The sequence below is a fragment of the Homo sapiens genome, chromosome 1 (genome assembly GCF_000001405.40).
Source record: "Homo sapiens chromosome 1, GRCh38.p14 Primary Assembly".
In the NCBI taxonomy this organism is placed as follows: domain Eukaryota; kingdom Metazoa; phylum Chordata; class Mammalia; order Primates; family Hominidae; genus Homo; species Homo sapiens.
In genome coordinates, this window is record NC_000001.11 from 112,976,974 (window position 1) to 112,994,913 (window position 17,940).

General features: G+C 43.0%; 1 long non-coding RNA gene across 2 annotated transcripts; it reads right to left on the bottom strand.

The window, feature by feature from the left end:
* Positions 1 to 1,641: 1,641 nt before the first annotated feature.
* LOC107985189 (uncharacterized) lies at positions 1,642 to 12,608 on the bottom strand. 2 transcript variants are annotated; one of them, XR_001738193.2, is made up of 2 exons: positions 5,935 to 12,608; positions 1,642 to 1,955 (listed from the first exon to the last, which is right to left on the bottom strand). It is a non-coding gene; the product is annotated as an uncharacterized LOC107985189 (long non-coding RNA). The 2 variants fall into 2 exon arrangements; XR_001738194.3 differs by lacking the exon at positions 5,935 to 12,608 and adding an exon at positions 2,237 to 2,744.
* Positions 12,609 to 17,940: the final 5,332 nt, after the last annotated feature.

Below are 17,940 nucleotides of genomic sequence, written 5' to 3' on the forward strand. Positions count from 1 at the left end.
TGAATGGTCAACTATCAACAATAACCTGCTTAGCCAGTAAGTCAGAGCCCAGCAAGGGGGTTCTGTAGGTTTCCAGTTTTTCTGGATTGGTTTTTCTTCTAAGGGCTAAAAAGTTCTAATGAAGGTAGCCACTTCCAAAGTATTTACCTTTTACTTACCTAGCTAGTAAGCCAATGTTATCTAATGAGTCCAATTCTAGGGATATGCAAGTGAATGTAAATGCTTTTTTCTGCCACCACAGTTTTGATATTCGAATCCTAGTAGTTTTACATTTAAAAATATAATATTGGCCAGGCGCAGTTGCTCATGCCTGTAAACCCAGCACTTTATGAGACCGAGGTAGGCGAATCACTTGAGGTCAGGAGTTCAAGACCAGCCTGGCCAACATGGTGAAACACCGTCTCTACTAAAAATACACACAGAAAAATTAGCCACACGTGGTGGCAGGCACCTGTAATAGCTATTTGGGAGGCTGAGGCAGAAGAATTGCTTGAACCCGGGAGGTGGAGGTTGCCTTGAGCTGCGATTGTGCCACTGCACTCCAGCCTGGGCAACAGAGTGAGACTCCATCTCAAAAAAAAGGAATACTGTCAATGTGCTAATATTCTTCCAATTTGTCCAATATTAACCTACCAATGTTTAAGGTTTGTTAATGTTTCAATGAATAAATTAACCAAGTATTAATCTTTTATTAAAAATATTTTATTGGCTGGGCGTGGTGGCTCATGCCTGTAATTCCAGCACTTTGAGAGGCTGAGGCGGGCAGATCACCTGAGGTCAGCAGTTCAAGACCAGCCTGACCAACATGGAAAAACCCCATCTCTACTAAAAATACAAAATTAGAAGGCGTGGCGTGGCGGCGCACGCCTGTAATCCCAGCTACTCAGGAAGCTGAGGCAGGGGAATCGCTTGAACCCAGGAGGCAGAGGTTGTGGTGAGCCGAGATCACGCCCTTGCACTCCAGCCTGGACAACAAGAGCGAGACTTCGTCTCAAAAAAAAAAAAAAAGCCAGGCCTGATGGCTCACGCCTGTAATCCAAGCACTTTGGGAGGCCTAGGTGGGCGGATCACGAGGTCCAGAGATAGAGACGATCCTGGCCAACATGGTGAAACCTTGTCTCTACTAAAAATACAAAAATTGGGCCAGGCATGGTGGCTCACGCCTGTAATCCCAGCACTTTGGGAGGCTGAGGCAGGCAGATTGCTTGATCCCAGGAATTCAAGACCAGTCTGGGCAACATGGTGAAACCTTCTCTACAAAAATGCAAAAATTAGCCAGGCATGCTGGTGCATGCCTGTATTCCCAGCTACTCGGGATACAGGGAGTCACCTGAGCTTGGGGAGGTCAAGGCTGCAGTGTGCCATGATTGCACCACTGCACTCCAGCATAGGCAACAGAGTAAGACCCTGTCTCAAAACAAAAAGAAAAACAGATTTCAAAACACTAAATAGAAAGTGATCACAATTTTTTTAAAAGAAATATGCATAAAATGAACACAAAGGCAATATTAGATTATAACAAAATCCTTTGGTGATAGGATTATAGGGGGTTATTTATTTCCTTCTTTGTCTCTTCATTTGGATCTTTAAAATGTCAACATGGTGCCATGACTATCTGGAGAAAAAAAGGCAGACATTCTATACAGAGAGAGAGCTATTTTATTTTAAGCATCTGTGATGAGTGATGGAGCATTTCACACACAACAAGGATGAAAAGAGGGAGGGTTTGTCAGATGAAATCATAGAATATTCAACTGGAGGGTGGGTTAGAAATAATTTAATTCAACTTCCTTTGTTTTATATATGAAAAGATTCAAGTTTATCCAAGGCCACACAGGTAATGTTTAGAATCCAGAATAACAATTGGATTTTCTACTTTCCAGGATCTTTAGCTCATCTTTCTTCCTTTCTATTTATGTATAATGCAGGAGCTGGCAAGTAGAGCTCTTTTAAGTCTGAAAAAAGAGATAGAAAATGTTTAGGATAAAGAGAAAGAGAAAAGCTATATCTTAAATAGCATGGTGACATGGCTTTTCTTTTCTTTTTTTTTTTTGGAGACAGGGTCTCGCTCTGTCGCTCACGCTGGAGTGCAGTGGCATGATCATACCCCACTGTAACCTCAAACTCCTAGGCTCAAGCAGTTCTCCCACTTCAACCTTCTGCGGGGCTAGGACTACAGGAAGACACCACCATGCCCAGCTAATTTTTAAAATTTTTTGTAGATAAGGGGACTCACTATGTTTCCCAGGCTTGTCTTGAACTCATAACCTCAATGAATCTTCTTGCCTCGGCCTCCTGAAACATTGGAATTGCAGGCGGGAGCCACTCTGCCCACAGCCTCTTCCTATTTTTGAATTGGCATTTGCCAAAAAAAATAAAATAAAATAAAATGAAAAAACCCCACCATGCACACACTTTGTAGTTGTCTTCAGAATAGCATGTTTTAAATAAAACCTCTAAATAAAACTTCATAGTGTTGATTTAAATATCCCTTTCTTTCAAACATCATCCTTTTTTCCCCAGTGTTAATTTCCCTGAAGGCCACAGTCTGATTACAAGAAGTAAAAATGGTCCAGGAACGGTGGCTCGTGCCTGTAAATCCCAGCAATTTGGGAGGCCGAGGCTGGTGGATCATGAGGTCAGGACTTTGAGTCCAGCCTGACCAACATGGTGAAATCCCGTCCCCACTAAAAATACAAAAATTAGCTAGGTATGGTGGCGCATGTCTGTAATCCCAGCTACTCGGGAGGTTGAGGCAGGAGAATTGCTTGAACCCAGGAGGAGGAGGTTGCAGTGAGCTGAGATTGCACCACTGCACTCCAGCCTGGGCAACAGAGCCAGACTCCATCTCAGAAAAAAAAAAGAAAAGAAAAGGAAGTAAAAATTAAAATTAACTTCCCACAGGCCTGGCTAAAGTATGGGTTATTGATGGCTGATGTTAGAAATGTTTGATGTAATTTTGATTAACAAACAAAATGTCGTTGTCAAAAAATGGTATACATCTTTGTGTTAGAAAGCTAACATCATGTACATTTTTGTTCATATATTTAGACATTAAACTAATTTTTTTTTTGAGATGGAGTTTCACTCTGGTTGCCAAGGCTGGAGTGCAAAGGTGCGATCTTGGCTCACTGCAACCTCTGCCTCCCAGGTTCAAGAGATTCTCCTGCCTCAGCCTCCCGAGTCCTGGGATTACAGGCACACACCACCACGCCTGGCTAATTTTTGGATTTATTTAGTAGAAACGCGGTTTCACCATGTTGGCCAGGCTGGTTCTCCAACTCCTGACCTTAAGTGACGCACCTGCCTCGGCCTCCCAAAGTGCTGGGATCACAGGTGTGAACCACCACGCTTGGCCTGTTCAACCAGTTATTTATTGAGCTCCTACCATGAGGCTGATTCTGTGCTATCCCTGGATATAAAATGGAAATTGAAACAGACCTAAACCCTGACCTTGGAGTTCAGTCTAGTATATAATAGTCTCTACGAAATTATACATATAAGTCAGGAATCGTATCTTATTCATCAGTACAATGAATATAGTAGGTTTTCTTTGAATATTTGTAGACTAAATGAATGGATTTTACCAGACGTTACCTTGCCATAAACTAAGAAATAGTTACTATTACTCCAGACATATATGTACTTATGGAGGTTTGAGAAATAATGTGGACTAAGAAGCCCTTATATAGCCTCACCCAACTTTAGCATGCTCCTTCCAGAGCCAACCCATCATTCAAATAATCCAAAATTCTGTCTAATATCTGGTTATGAACAGATTCCTGAGACAAAACAAAATGTGGCCACCTATTAATAAAGCAAACAGTCTTGGTGTTCAGACACTGCTGCCGTTTAGTTCAGAACAGATTATTGTCATTATTATAATTTTGTTTATTAAAAAGAAAACTCTTGGCAGCCGAGCGCGGTGGCTCACGCCTGTAATCCCAGCACTTTGGGAGGCCAAGGCTGGTGGCTCACGAGGTCAGGAGATCGAGACCATCCTGGCTAACACGGTGAAACCCCGTCTGTACTAAAAATAAAAAAAATTAGCCGGCCTTGGTGGTGGGTGCCTGTAGTCCCAGCTACTTGGGAGGCTGAGGCAGGAGAATGGCATGAACCCAGGAGGCAGAGCTTGCAGTGAGCAGAGATCGAGCCATTGCACTCCAGCCTCGGTGACAGAATGAGACTCCATCTCAAAAAAAACAAGAAAAAGAAAAGAAAACTCTTTAGCTGGGCACGGTGGCTCATGCCTGTAATCCTAACACTTTGGGAGGCCAAGGCAGATGGATCACCTGAAGTCAGGAGTTAGAGACCAGCCTGGCCAACATGGCAAAACTTCATCTCTACTAAAAATACAAAAATGAGCTGGGCATCGATGTACATGCCTGTAATCCCAGCTACTCAGGAGGCTGAGGCAAGAGAATCGCTTGAACTCGTGAGGCAGTTGCAGTGAGATCGCACCACTGCACTCCAACCTGGGTGACAGAGCAAGATTCTGTCTCAAAAAAAAAAAAAAAAAGAAAACTCTGACATTTATTTTCCAATGGTTTTCATTACCATTGAGATAATTTGAGAAGTATTGGGATAATTTGGGGAAGTAATCTGAGAGATTATATGACCAAGCACTTTTGGAAGCAAGTAACAGATTTCAACACAAATACATAACAGAAATCTCTAAAGTAATACATTTTGAAATGAGGAACTGTATCAGGAACTTTTAAAGTTTTAGAGACAAGTCAGTATGCAACCTTATCTTTTCATTTGCTGGCATCTCAGTGAAATCAGGATCTGTGCTATCAAATCAAAGAAGCAAAAGCCTATAAGGACTTTCCTCTATCTCCCCTGTAAATAATAGATTTTTCTTTTTTTTTTTTTTTTTTGAGGCAGAGTTTTGTTCTTGTTGCCCAGGCTGGAGTGCAGTGGCACGATCTCAGCTCACTACAACCTCCGCCTCCCGGGTTCAAGCAATTCTCCCAAAGTGTTGGGATTATAGGCGTGAGCCACCACGCCCAGCCGTAAATAATGGATTTTTCCTACTTTAATTTACCTGGGGGAGTAAACACAATATGAAAGGGCAAAAACTTGACCTTCCCTAAATCTGATCTACCTAATTAAATGCTGGCCAGCTGCAGTGTCTCATGCCTGTAATCCTGGCACTTTGGGAGGCCCAGGCAGGCGGATCACTTGAGGCCAGGCCAGGAGTTTGAGACCAGCCTGGCCATCATGGCGAAACTCTGTCTCTGCTAAAAATACAAAAATTGGGAGGGATAGCATTAAGAGAAATACCTAATGTAAATGATGGGTTAATGGGTGCAGCACACCAACATGGCACATGTATACATATGTAACAAACCTGCACGTTGTGCACATGTACCCTAGAAATTAAAGTATAATAATAAAAAGAAATCTCACATATCAGAATATGTTACATTCTTTACAGGTACTAAGATTTCCTTTAATGGATTTTTGAAGTCATATTTATAAAAAGTTATTATATTAACCAGGGAGGAGATGAGTACTTAAGGCAAAAAAAGACATTTTTTTCTCTGAGTCAGCAATACTTGTCCTTAAATTTCCCATTGGAGGGCAAAGCCGATTTGAAATCTGTCTCCTTTTTGTCTCTTGGGATTGTTCTCACCTGAACAGAACATTACAGCATTTACTACAGGGCCAAATGAAAGACAGAAGTCAGAGAGTAACTCCTAGAAAATGGAATAAATTGTTCCTGAAGGTTAAAAAAAAAATACAAAAATTAACCAGGCATGTGGCCCACGCCTGTAATCCCAGCTACTCTTGGGAGGCTGAGGCAGGAGAATCACTTGAACTCAGGAGGTAGAGGTTGCAGAGATGGTGCCACTGTACTCCAGCCTGGGTGACAGAGTGAGACTCTGTCTCAAAAAAATAAAGGAAAATGAAAAATAAAGTGGTGCTTACCTAGGACCTCCAAAAGTTAGCCTCTATTTTGTCTTCCAAAGGTAAGAGAGTAGATTGTCCTCTGGGCTGATATAAATGGGGAAGACAGTACTGTATGTGACCTTGTGTTCTGACATGATTCTGGCATCTGTGCAGAATCTTTTTGGTAGCATGTGCTTTGTCACTTTCTAGCAAGCAGGGAGACTAGGCAGGCACCTAGGGCCTGAGAGTCAACCAGTCCACACGTTTCCAAACCATGAGGGTAGGAGAAAGGGGTCCCAATATTCTCAGCATTTGGGTAGTTACTACTCCGAGATGGGTTTTAAAGCCAGTTAATAAAAAGGCACCATGCCACCGGAAGAGATATGTGAGCTTGGATCTCAAAGGGTATGTACTCTGAAGCTGAAATCATAAACCAGAGCATCTGATGTGTGTCTCATACACAATGAGGGAGGAAGGACTGCTGACGGAAATGTCACACGCAGCTGCTTTTAGCACTTGGCTCTCACTGATGAAGCTTCCCTCTCTGCCACTACACACCACCCTCTTCCTACATGAGAGACCTTTAGGGCTCTTTAGTTCTCATCCTGAAAGCTGTGGGACAGATTATAAATTGATATCTTTTATATCAGTATAGCTCATGCTTGGTTGATGTGCCTGATGGGCTATAGGAGTGATTGACTCAGCTACTATTTTGGTGAGGAAAGAGAGTCTTCCTTAGAAAGAGAATTGTGTGCCTTGCCCTAAAAAGGTTAGGAATGCGGCCTATGGTCCTAATTAAGTGCCCTGTTAAACAGTGTCCCTTGAACAAGTCACTTTCTTCTTCTGCAACTTCTCCAGCTATATAATTAAGCATGTAATCCTGTGTGACTTCATAGTAGGGTTGTGAGGACAGGCTATTCCCACCGTCTGGAGTTGTCTTCCCCTCACTTTTCCATTGCCAAATAAATCGTCCTTATCTTTTGGAGTTAAGTTGAAACATCAATTTCTTGAGATTGTTTCAGATCCTACTTTTCTACTGCCCAAAACCCGTAGTTCCCCAGTCTGTCACTTTATAGCACCTGGCACTTCCCTTTTTGCAACCAATGTCACGCTTATTGTAATAGTTGTTCAATGTCTATCTTCCCAATTAGACTAGAAGTTTCATTAGCATAGAAATCCTATCTTTTGCACCTCGATTCTTAGCACAATCTTGGGCATTGTGCTTTGTACCTATTTGGATGATGAATGAAAGATGAATGATTACATCTCATAATCACTTTGAGATTCCTTTCTGAAAACTCCAATATTGAACTCTTTGTGCCTTTCTAAATATGCTGGTAAAACTGAGAACAGGTTTTTCTATTAGAGTGAAAAGGACTGCTGTTTATTGAATGTTTCCCCCTACCTCGCTACTCCTTACCTTTTCCTATTATGACAATCTTAAATTCTCTCCATGGCAAGCTGTTCCCAACTCCCTAAACAGTCATTTCTAGGAAGACTGCAGGCTGTTCATTTTGTTTTCTTTTTTGAGACAGGGTCTCACTGTGTGGCCCAGGCTGGAGTACAGTGGCGCGATCTCGGCTCACTGCAACCTCCGCCTCCTGGGTTCAAGCGATTCTTCTGCCTCAGCCTCCCGAGGAGCTGGGACTACAGGTGCGCACCACCACGCCCAGCTAATTTTTGTAATTTTAGTAGAGATGGGGTGTCACCATGTTGGCCAGGCTGGTCTCGAACTCCTGACCTTGTAATCTGCCCACCTTGGCCTCCCAACGTGCTGGGATTACAAGTGTGAGCCACCGTGCCCGGCCACAGGCTGTTTGTTTTTAAATGAAACAAAAAATCCAAACTGGCTTTTAGAATTAACTGTTGTCTTTCCTCACATTTTTGTCAATTTAAAGAACTGTTAAGCTCCTGTAAAAAAGATGTTATGTAATCTGTAACTACATTTGAGAATGTTAGTCAACTTCAAATAAATTCTTACCAAAATACCTTTTTCTTGTTAACACTAATTGTTGCTGAAATATTAACCTGAACTTGCATATCATTCTATCTGGCAACTTTTCAGAATAGATTCATACCAGCTTCACATGCCATTTATTAATTCATCAATTAATTGATTCAGTAATTATTAGTGAACACTAAATGTCAGGCACTTTTCTAGATGTTTGGGAATATCAGTAAATAAAACAGATTCTTGCCCTCAAGGAAATATTTATAGAACTGCTGTTGTATAAACAGTACTCATCAAATATTCCACTGCTCCCCTGCTTTTCCCAGCATCCCTTACAGTTAGGTTTGGATCATGTGATTACAGCAAGCTAATGGCCTATCAAGGAAATGACATGTATCATTTTTAGGCTGAGGAAGGTATAAGCTAATGTGCTCCCCAACCCTGTTATTACCTGTCACACAACCCCAGAGGTTAATATTCCACATGGTTCAGCCACAAGATATAATTTGAGTCATTTTGGTTACTGAGTCTCATAGTCCGTTTGTGCTGCTATAGCAACATACCTAAGACTAGATAATTTACAAATAATAGGAATTCGTTTCTCACAGTTCTGGAGTCTGCAAAGTCCAATATCAAGCCACTAGTAGATAATGCCTTGTTGCTGCATTTTTCAGAGGGTCTGAAATCTGTGTCCTTACATGGAGGAAGAGACAGAAGGGGCAAACCCACCCCCTCAAGTCCTCTTCTAAAGCACTGTGAGAGTGGAGCCCTCAGGGCCTACCCTCTGAAGGCCCTACCTCTTAAAGAGTGTTTCATTGTAGATTAAATTTCAATATGAGTTTTGGAGGAGACACAAACTGTAGAATTCCACCCCTGGCCCCCCAAAATATATGTCCTTCTTACTTACAAAATATAATCATTCCATCCCAATAACATCAAAAGTCTTAACTTGTTCCAGCATCAACTTTAGAGTCTGACTCTGAAGTCTCATCTAAATATCATCTTCATAACATTTGGATGTGACTCAAGGTACAATTCATCATGAGGCAAATTCCTCTCCCGTTGTGAGCCTGTGAAATCAAGTTATGTGCTTCCAAAATACAATGGTGTACAGGCATACGACAGACATTCCCATTCTAAAAGGGAGCAATAGGCAAGAAGAAATGGGTAACAGGTCTCAAGTAAGTCCAAAATCCAACAAGGCAAACTTTAAATCTTGAAGCTTCAGAAAAACAATCTTTGACTCTATGTGCGACCTTCTGGACACCCTGGGGTGAGGGTTGGGCCCCCAAAGCCCTGGACAGCTGCATTCCTATGGCATCACTGGGCATAGCCCATGCTGCAGCTCTCCCTGACTGATGCTGCACACTGGTGGCTCTCTAGGTTTTGGGTCTTGCCAGGGGTTGGGGGAGTAGAGCTGACCCTTCCCCATGGCCCCACTAGATACTGTACTTGACAGGGCTCTCTACAATGGCCTTAACCCACAACTCCATTTGACATTGCCTAGTGGAGGTTCTCTGCAGTATCCCTGGCAGCTCTCTACCTGGGCCCTGAGGCTTTCAGAGAGAGCCTTTGAAATCTAGGTGGAGGTAGCAATGCCTCCACAAGTGTTGCAGTCTGCATGCCTGCAGAGCTGGCAGCACAAGGATCCCACTGAAGTTTATCGCTTGTGCCTCCTGGAGCAGCAGCCCAAGCCTCACTTGGGCCCACTTGAACCACAGCTGGGGCAGCCAAGGAGTTCTGCACCTGAATGCAGGGAACAGACTTGAGGCAATATTGAGAGCCCCAAGGTCCCTCCTTTGAAGCCTTTCTTCCCTCAAGGCACTAGCACTCTGGGCCTGTGATGGGAGTAGCAGCCTCAGAGATCTCTGAAATGCCTTCAGGGTCATTGTTCCATTGTCCTGAGAATAGCATCTGGCTTCCTCCTATCCCTATTAATTTTATCAAATAGCCTCTTGGCCACATCCTTGGTATGCTTTCTGAAATATGCTTTGCAACCCTGCCAGTGTTTAAATTAAAATGGAGACTTGGCCAGAAAACTTTTTGAGCAGACAAAACCAGAGGCCTTAAAAATAACCTGAATCTCCATCCTGGCTAACACGGTGAAACCCCGTCTCTACTAAAAATACAAAAAAATTAGCTGGGCGTCATGGCGGGTGCCTGTAGTCCCAGCTACTCTGGAGGCTGAGGCAGGAGAATGGCGTGAACCTGGGAGGTAGAGCTTGCAGTGAGCCGACATCGCACCACTGCACTGAAGCCTGGGCGACAGAGAGAGACTCTGTCTCAAAAAAATTAAAAAATAAAATAAAAAATAACCTAAATCTTGCTTAAACTGCAAAAACTTAAGTTGGGTAATTTCTGATGGTTCATGCTAGACAAAACTAAAACTCAACCCCAGCCATGATAAGTATGATTATGTGATTAGGGGCTTGCCAACAAGTACCTAAAAAAAGGAATTTTGTAATTGGAAGCCAATCAAATAATTTATTTTGCTTCTCCATTTTCCCAATAAATACCTGACATTTCATCATTGGGACACTAAACTTCTTTTAGTCTGGTGTTCCCCAACTCATGAATTGCATCTCACTCAAATAAACTCTTGTGCCTCAGATTTTTCTTTAACACCAGGCTGAGAAGTTTCCAAATCTTCTGCTTCCCTTTTAGTTCTATCTTTAATTCATTTCTCCCTTCTTACATTTTACTATAAGCAATCAAAAGAAGCCATGCAGAACCTTCAACACTTTGCTCAGATAATTCTGCCAAATATCCTGGTTCATCACTCACAAGTTCTGCCATTCATAAAACGTTAGGACACAGAAACAATTCAGTCAAGTTCTTTGCCACAAGAATGGCTTTTCCTCCAGTTTCTAATACCATTTTCCTCATTTCCATCTGAGGAAGTATTGTACTTTAGTAGAGATAGGGTTTCACCATATTGGCCAGGCTGGTCTGGAACTCCTGACCATAGGTTATCCACCCATCTTGGCCTCCCAAAGGGCACGGTGATTCATGCCTGTAATCCTAGCACTTTGGGAGGCCGAGGCAGGTGGATCACCTGAGGCCAGAAGTTCGAGACCAGCCTGGCCAACATGGCAAAACCCTGTCTCTACTAAAAATACAAAAAATTAGCTGGGCATAGTGGCACACACCTGTAATCCCAACTACTGGGAAGGCTGAGGCAAAAGAACTGCTTGAACCGGGGAGGCGGAGGTTGCAGTGAGCACCACTGTACTCCAGCCTAAGCAACAAAGCGAGACTATCTCAAAAAAACAAAAAACAAACAAACAAAAACCCTGAGAATGGGTAATGTATAAATAATAGAAATGCATTTTTTACAGTTCTGGAGGCTGAGATTTCCAAAATGAAGGCAACAATAGGTCTGATATCTAGTCTAGTCTATTCTAGTTTGATGTCTGTGCTTCCAGTGGCTCCTCGTCCTCACATCGTGGAAGGGATGGAAGGGTAAAAAGAGAGAAATGCTGTGTAAAGCCTCCCTTATAAAGCATTAATTCCATTCATGAGGGTGGAGCACTCATGACTTACTCACCTCATAAAGGTCCCACCTTTTAATAGTTAATATAACTTTGGGCATTAAGTTCCTACATGAATTTTGGAGGGGACACAAACATTCAAACCATAGCACTGAGTGAAGGTGAGGAGTTGAGCAACACTGAACTTTCACTGCTTGCCAACCTGTGCTAGATAGATGACATGTGTGAGATATAAATGTTTGTTGTTTAAACCACTGAGGATTTAGAGTCTGACTGCTGGGATAGTCAGTGTTAATTGCCCTGAGTAATACAACTCCTATTATTTATTTAGTACCTTTTATGTACTTTGCTATGCAAAGTACTAGGCTGTGTGTAATAGTGATTTGTTACAATTCTGATAGTTGACTTCCCTTGCCAAAAAGGAGTCATGTTCAGTATTCATTCCGAATTATATTATCATCAATCTCACCAAATTTGCTCAATTTTTTAAAAACAGTGGTTCTCGGCCGGGCGTGGTGGCTCATGCCTGTAATCCTAGCACTTTGGGAGGCCAAGGTAGGTGGATCACCTGAGGTCAGGAGTTTGAGACCAGCCTGCAAACATGGTGAAAACCCATCTCTACTAAAAACACAAAAATTAGCTGGGTGTGGTGGCGGCCACCTATAATCCCAGCTACTCAGGAAGCTGAAGCAGGAGAATCACTTGAATCCAGGAGGCGGAGGTTGCAGTGAGCTGAGATCACGCCATTGTACTCCAGCCTGGGCGATAAAAGCAAAACTCAGTCTCAAAAAAATAAATAAATAAAATAAAAACAGTGGCTCTCAGAAAGAAACAAACAGTGGCTCTAAAATTGATACAAGTCTTGAAATTTTAGAGGGAAAAGAAGGATTTTAGGCTTATTCTAGAAGATTTAATTAGGATGAGACTTAATTAGGATGAGTCCTGATTCCATGGTTGAGTATTTAATCTGCCTTATTTTTCCCAGAGGTAAAATTGGAGATAATATTTTGCTACTAATGTCACAACGTTATTATAATGATCAAAATGAGTTGACTATATAAATTATGAGGCATATATATACAAATATGACTATTCTCATTGAACCTGAACATTGATTTTTATCATATCACACTTGTGCTTTAATAAAAGGAAAATATAATGAAAACTATTTAGGTAGGGTAGTCCAAAATGTCTTCACATTCAGAGTCTGTCTCTGAATCACTTTTGACTCTGAATCATCAATGTCTGTATTTTCTTCCTTTTTTTTTTTTTTTTTTGAGACAGAGTTTTGCTCTTGTTGCCCAGGCTGGAGTGCAATGGCATGATCTCAGCTCACTGCAACCTCTGTCTCCTGGGTTCAAGCAATTCTCCTGCCTCAGCCTCCCGAGTAGCTGGGATTACAGGCATGCGCCACCAGGCCCGGCTAATTTTTTGTGTTTTTAGTGGAGACAGGGTTTCACCATGTTGGCCAGGCTGGTCTTGAACTCTTGACCTCAGATGATCCACCTGTGTTGGCCTCCCAAAGTGCTGGGATTACAGGCATTAGCCACCAAGCCCGGCCTATGTCTGTATTTTTCAATATAATATTACAAGTGTGGCCTCGAGAGCACTGGTGATGTAATGTTCCTTAGGCAGGTCTTCAGGTCTTCACCTTTTTTGTTTGTTTGTTTTTGAGACAGAATCTCCCTCAATCACCAAGGCTGGAGTGCAGTGGTGTGATCTCGGCTCACTGCAACCTCCACCTCCCGGGTTCAAGCAATTCTCCTGCCTCAGCCTCCCAAGCAGCTGGGATTACAGGTGCCTGCCACCATGCCCAGCTAATTTTTTTTTTTTTTTTGTATTTTTAGTAGAGATGAAGTTTCACCATGTTGGCCAGCCTGGTCTCGAACCCCTGACCTCAGGTGATCCACCTGCCTTGGCCTCCCAAAGTGCTGGGATTACAGGCATGAGCCATCGTGCCTGGCCAGACTATTTTTATCTGAGTTTTTCTTCCAAGTCTCTGACATCCAGTCTGCAAGTTTTGATGCTAATGCTTTCTTGATCTTACAGGAAGGTGTCAATGAAAGGTTTTCAGGCAACAAGTAGGATTCATATAGCTTGCTTAAATGATACTTAAATGAACAAACTGAAAGGGCTATGAGTTTCAGTTTTCCAGTCATGCCACCAGGATTAACAATCAATCAAGTTTGGGCATGAATAGACAATGACGGCTGGGTGTGGTGGCTCATGCCTGTAATCCTAGCACTTTGAGTGGCCGAGGCCGGCGGATCACCTGAGGTCAGGAGTTCGAGACCAGCCTCAACATGGAGAAACCCCGTCTCTACTACAAATACAAAATTAGCCGGGCATGGTGGTGCATGCCTGTAATCCCAGCTACTCGGGAGGCTGAGGCAGGAGAATTGCTTGAACCTGGGAGGCAGAGGTTGCAGTGAGCTGAGATCACACCATTGCACTCCAGCCTGGGCAACAAGAGTGAAACTCCGTCTCAGAAAAAAAAAAAAAAAAAAAAAAAAGACAATGACAACTATAGCACAACTGCTGAGCAGAAGAAACAACTGTAAAACATCAGTTTTAAGACACATCTTGGCCGGGCGCGGTGGCTCACGTCTGTAATCCCAGCACTTTGGGAGGTCAAGGCACGTGGATCACGACGTCAGGAATTCAAGACAAGCCTGGCCAACATGGTGAAACCTCATCTCTACTAAAAATACAAAAATTAGCCAGGCGTCGTGGTGGGCACCTGTAATCCCAGCTACTCGGGAGGCTGAGGCAGGAGAATCGCTTGAACCTGGGAGGCAGAGGTTGCAGTGACCCTAGATCGCGCCACTGCACTCCAGCCTAGGCAACAGAGCAAGACTGTCTCAAAAAAAAAAAAAAAAGACACATCTTGATTTCTGAGATATTACAATATAACTATATATTTCTTGGGACAGATAAAATGCAGTATTGTTATTTTATTAATACAAATAAAGGTATATAATAATAAGGCCCTGATAACCTCAGCTACACAGGAACTCACAGATCATTCTTTCTTTTCCATCTCATTCTTAGCACGCTAATCCAACCTTTGCAATCTTAAATCTAGGACAAAGCAATAGAAGGATTTGGGCTATGGAGAAAAGAGAACTCATTTTGGTGTCTAAAGACCTGGATCTGACTTTCAGCCTTGCAATACTTTTAGGAGGTGAAATCACTACTCTGGGGGAAATATCTGATTCAGAAGGTTTTGGGCGGGGGGGATTTAATGTATGCAGAAGCAGTTTGTAAACTGTAAAATCTCTATACAAGAGGAAGAGAACTGGCTGCACTCCAGCCTGGGTGACAGAGTGAGAGTTCTGCCTCAAAAAAAAAAAACAAAAAAAAAAAGAACTAATATTTGTTGAGTGCCAGGAACTGAGCTGGGTATTTGGGCATTATCTTATTTGATCTGATGTAAATGCTAAGGCATATCATGTCTGGATAGTCACCTTGCTAGCTAATCCATTCTGTGGTGGGTTTTTTTTTCTTCTTCTTCCTGAAATAACCCTTTCATTCCCTTAAACCTTAAAGCAGAAATCTTCTTTAGTTACTGTTCCTATCACAAACCAGTTGATGACTATGAGCTCATCACAAAGCTGCAGCCTCTCACTCATTGTTGCCTTGTAGTAAGACACATGATGAAATAAGAGACCCTTAGGCTACCAGTGTGCTGTGTAGAATCTTCCCTGTGATTCTTTTGCCAGAACTAGCCCCTGGGACCTTGGCAGAAAATTTTTACTTATACTATGATAAAAATTCCAAAAATAGGCTGGGCGCGGTGGCTCACGCCTATAATCTCAGCACTTTGGGAGGCTGAGGCAGGCAGATCCACTAGAGGTTAGGAGTTCAAGACCAGCCTGGGCAACATGGCGAAACCCTGTCTCTACTAAAAATACAAAAATTAGCTGGGTGTGGTGGCAGGCGCTTGTAATCCCAGCTACTCGGGAGGCTGAGGCAGGAGAATCACTTGAATCTGGGAGGCAGAGGCTGCAGTGAGCCAAGATTGCGCTATTGCACTCCAGCCTGGGTGACAGAGTGAGACTCCGTCTCAAAAAAAAAAAAAAAAATTCCAAAAACAATCTAAGATGCATTGGACAATTTATACAGATTCAGGATTCAGGTGCACAGAAAGTTGACATCCAAAACCCCCGGCCATAGAAACCAGAGATCCCAGTGACAAGATAATTTTGGGGTCTGTAACTCTATTCAGAGGCAGAAAAGTTACTGGCAAGAAATTTAGTCCTAGGGAAGTATAAGTCAGGAACTCTTTTCCCATCCCCAAAGTCCTGATTACCTTTGAGACTTTTCTTTTGAGACAGGGTCTCAGCCAGTTTCTTTTATTTATTATTGATTGATTGATTGATTGGTAGAAACAGGGTCTCACCTTATTACCCACTTTGGTCTCCAACTCCTGGCCTCAAGCAGTCCTCCCACCTCACCTCCCAAAGTGCTGGGATTACAGGCATGAGCCACCAAGCAGGGCTGAGACTGACTCTTTGAACTAAAGACCTAGTCTCCTCATGATCTTCCAGCTGGAAGAATTGAGTCATTGAAATGAAGTGAATCTTAGTCTATAAGTTGGGGTTGTAGATCCTAGCTCAGAGGCTAGACGGTATATGAGGCACATTATTGCACCAGGCAAGTGAAATGCTATCTTGACCTATTAATAGGTGGTGGTAAGGTGGAGTGGTGGGGGAGGTGTTAAAGCTATAAACTTTATTATGTTTCAAATGACCTCAGGATGGGGGGCAAATACCTACAACAATTTGAGGAGTCCCAAGACCCATCTCATGGCTACCATCTTAGGACAGTAATGTAATGTTTAATTTCTAACTCAATGTAACATTCATATCATTCTCTGATTATTTTATGTACATCTATATTAACTTCTCACTAAGGTTTTAAGCTTGAGGACAGTAATCACATCTTACTTTAAAAAATATTCTGGGCCGGGCACGGTGGCTCATGCCTGTAATCCCAGCTCTTTCGGAGGCCGAGGTGGGCTGATCACGAGGTCAGAAGATTGAGACTATCCTGGCTAACACGGTGAAACCCTGTCTCTACTAAAAATACAAAAAATTAGCTGGGCGTGGTGGCGGACTCCTGTAGTCCCAGATCCTCAGGAGGCTGAGGCAGGAGAATGGCATGAACCCGGTAGGTGGAGCTTACAGTGAGCCCAGATCGCGCCACTGCACTCCAGCCTGGGTGACGGAGCGAGACTCTGTCTCAAAAAGAAAAAAAATTCTGCAGGCTGGGCACAGTGGCTCACACCTGAAATCCCAGCACTTTGGGAGGCCAAGGCAGGTGGATCACCTAAGGTCAGGGGTTCGAGACCAGTCTGGCTAACATGGTGAAACCCCTATCTCTACTAAAACTACAAAAATTAGCTGGGTGTGGTGGCATGCACCTGTAGTCCCAGCTACTTGGGAGGCTGAGGCAGGAGAATTGCTTGAACCCAGGAAGCGGAGGTTGCAGTGAGCTGAGATTATGCCACTGCACTCCAACCTGGGCAACAGAGTAAGACTCCGTCTCAAAAAAAAAAAAATCTGCATGTATAATACCTAGCATAATTCCTTGTACAACCCAGAAAATTTATTTTTTTTATTTTTTGAAACAGAGTCTTGCTGTGTTGCCCAGGCTGGAGTGCAGCGGCATGATCTTGGCTTACTGCCACCTCTGCCTCCTGGCTTCAAGTGATTCTCCTGCCTTAGCCTCCTGAGTAACTGGGATTACAGGCATGTGGCACCATGCCTGGCTAATTTTTGTATTTTTAGTAGAGATGGGATTTCACCATGTTGACCAGGCTTGTCTCGAACTCCTGACCTCGTGATCTGCCTGCCTCGGCCTCCCAAAGTGCTGGGATTACAGGTGTGAACCACTGCGCCCGGCCCAGAAAATTTATTAATATCACCACTTCTTATTTGACTCTGGCAGAGATTATATCTTGCGTGATCTCTATAAAAGTGGGACCCAGATTAATTTTTGCCATCAACGCGTGTTTTTCCAAGAACCCAGCCGCTCCAGAAAAATCTATTTTATTTGCAGAACTATTGCAAAATCTGACACTCCACTTCACTGGAATGCCCTTGTAATTGCCAAATGTTGTCTTGCCTCGTGGTAATTCTTGGCCAGACCTATGGATTGCCAGACCTTGCAGCTGTTTACCCTTGAAGTCCAATTCTCCTAAAACATCAAATCCAGTGACATTTCTTAATGACCTAATAAGAGTCGGCACTGAGCTAGTTGCCACTGAGGGTATGAAGACATGATTGCTGCCCTTAAGTAGTTAAGAGTTTATATGAAGACAAACGAATATTTTCAATAGCATATACAGACTTCAGTGATAATTTAGATAGTAAAGAAACAAAGGCATGACACAGAAAAAAAAAAGCCTTTAAGAACTCACTGGAGGGAGAGACATCAATTCTACCCTCTTGTTTTGTTGTTGTTGTTGTTGTGGTTGTGGTTTTGAGACAGTCTCACTCTGTTGCTCAGCGTGGAGTGCAGTGGTGTGATCTCAGCTCACTGCAAACTCCGCCCCCCAGGTTCAATCGATTCACCTGCCTCAGCCTCCCAACTACCTGG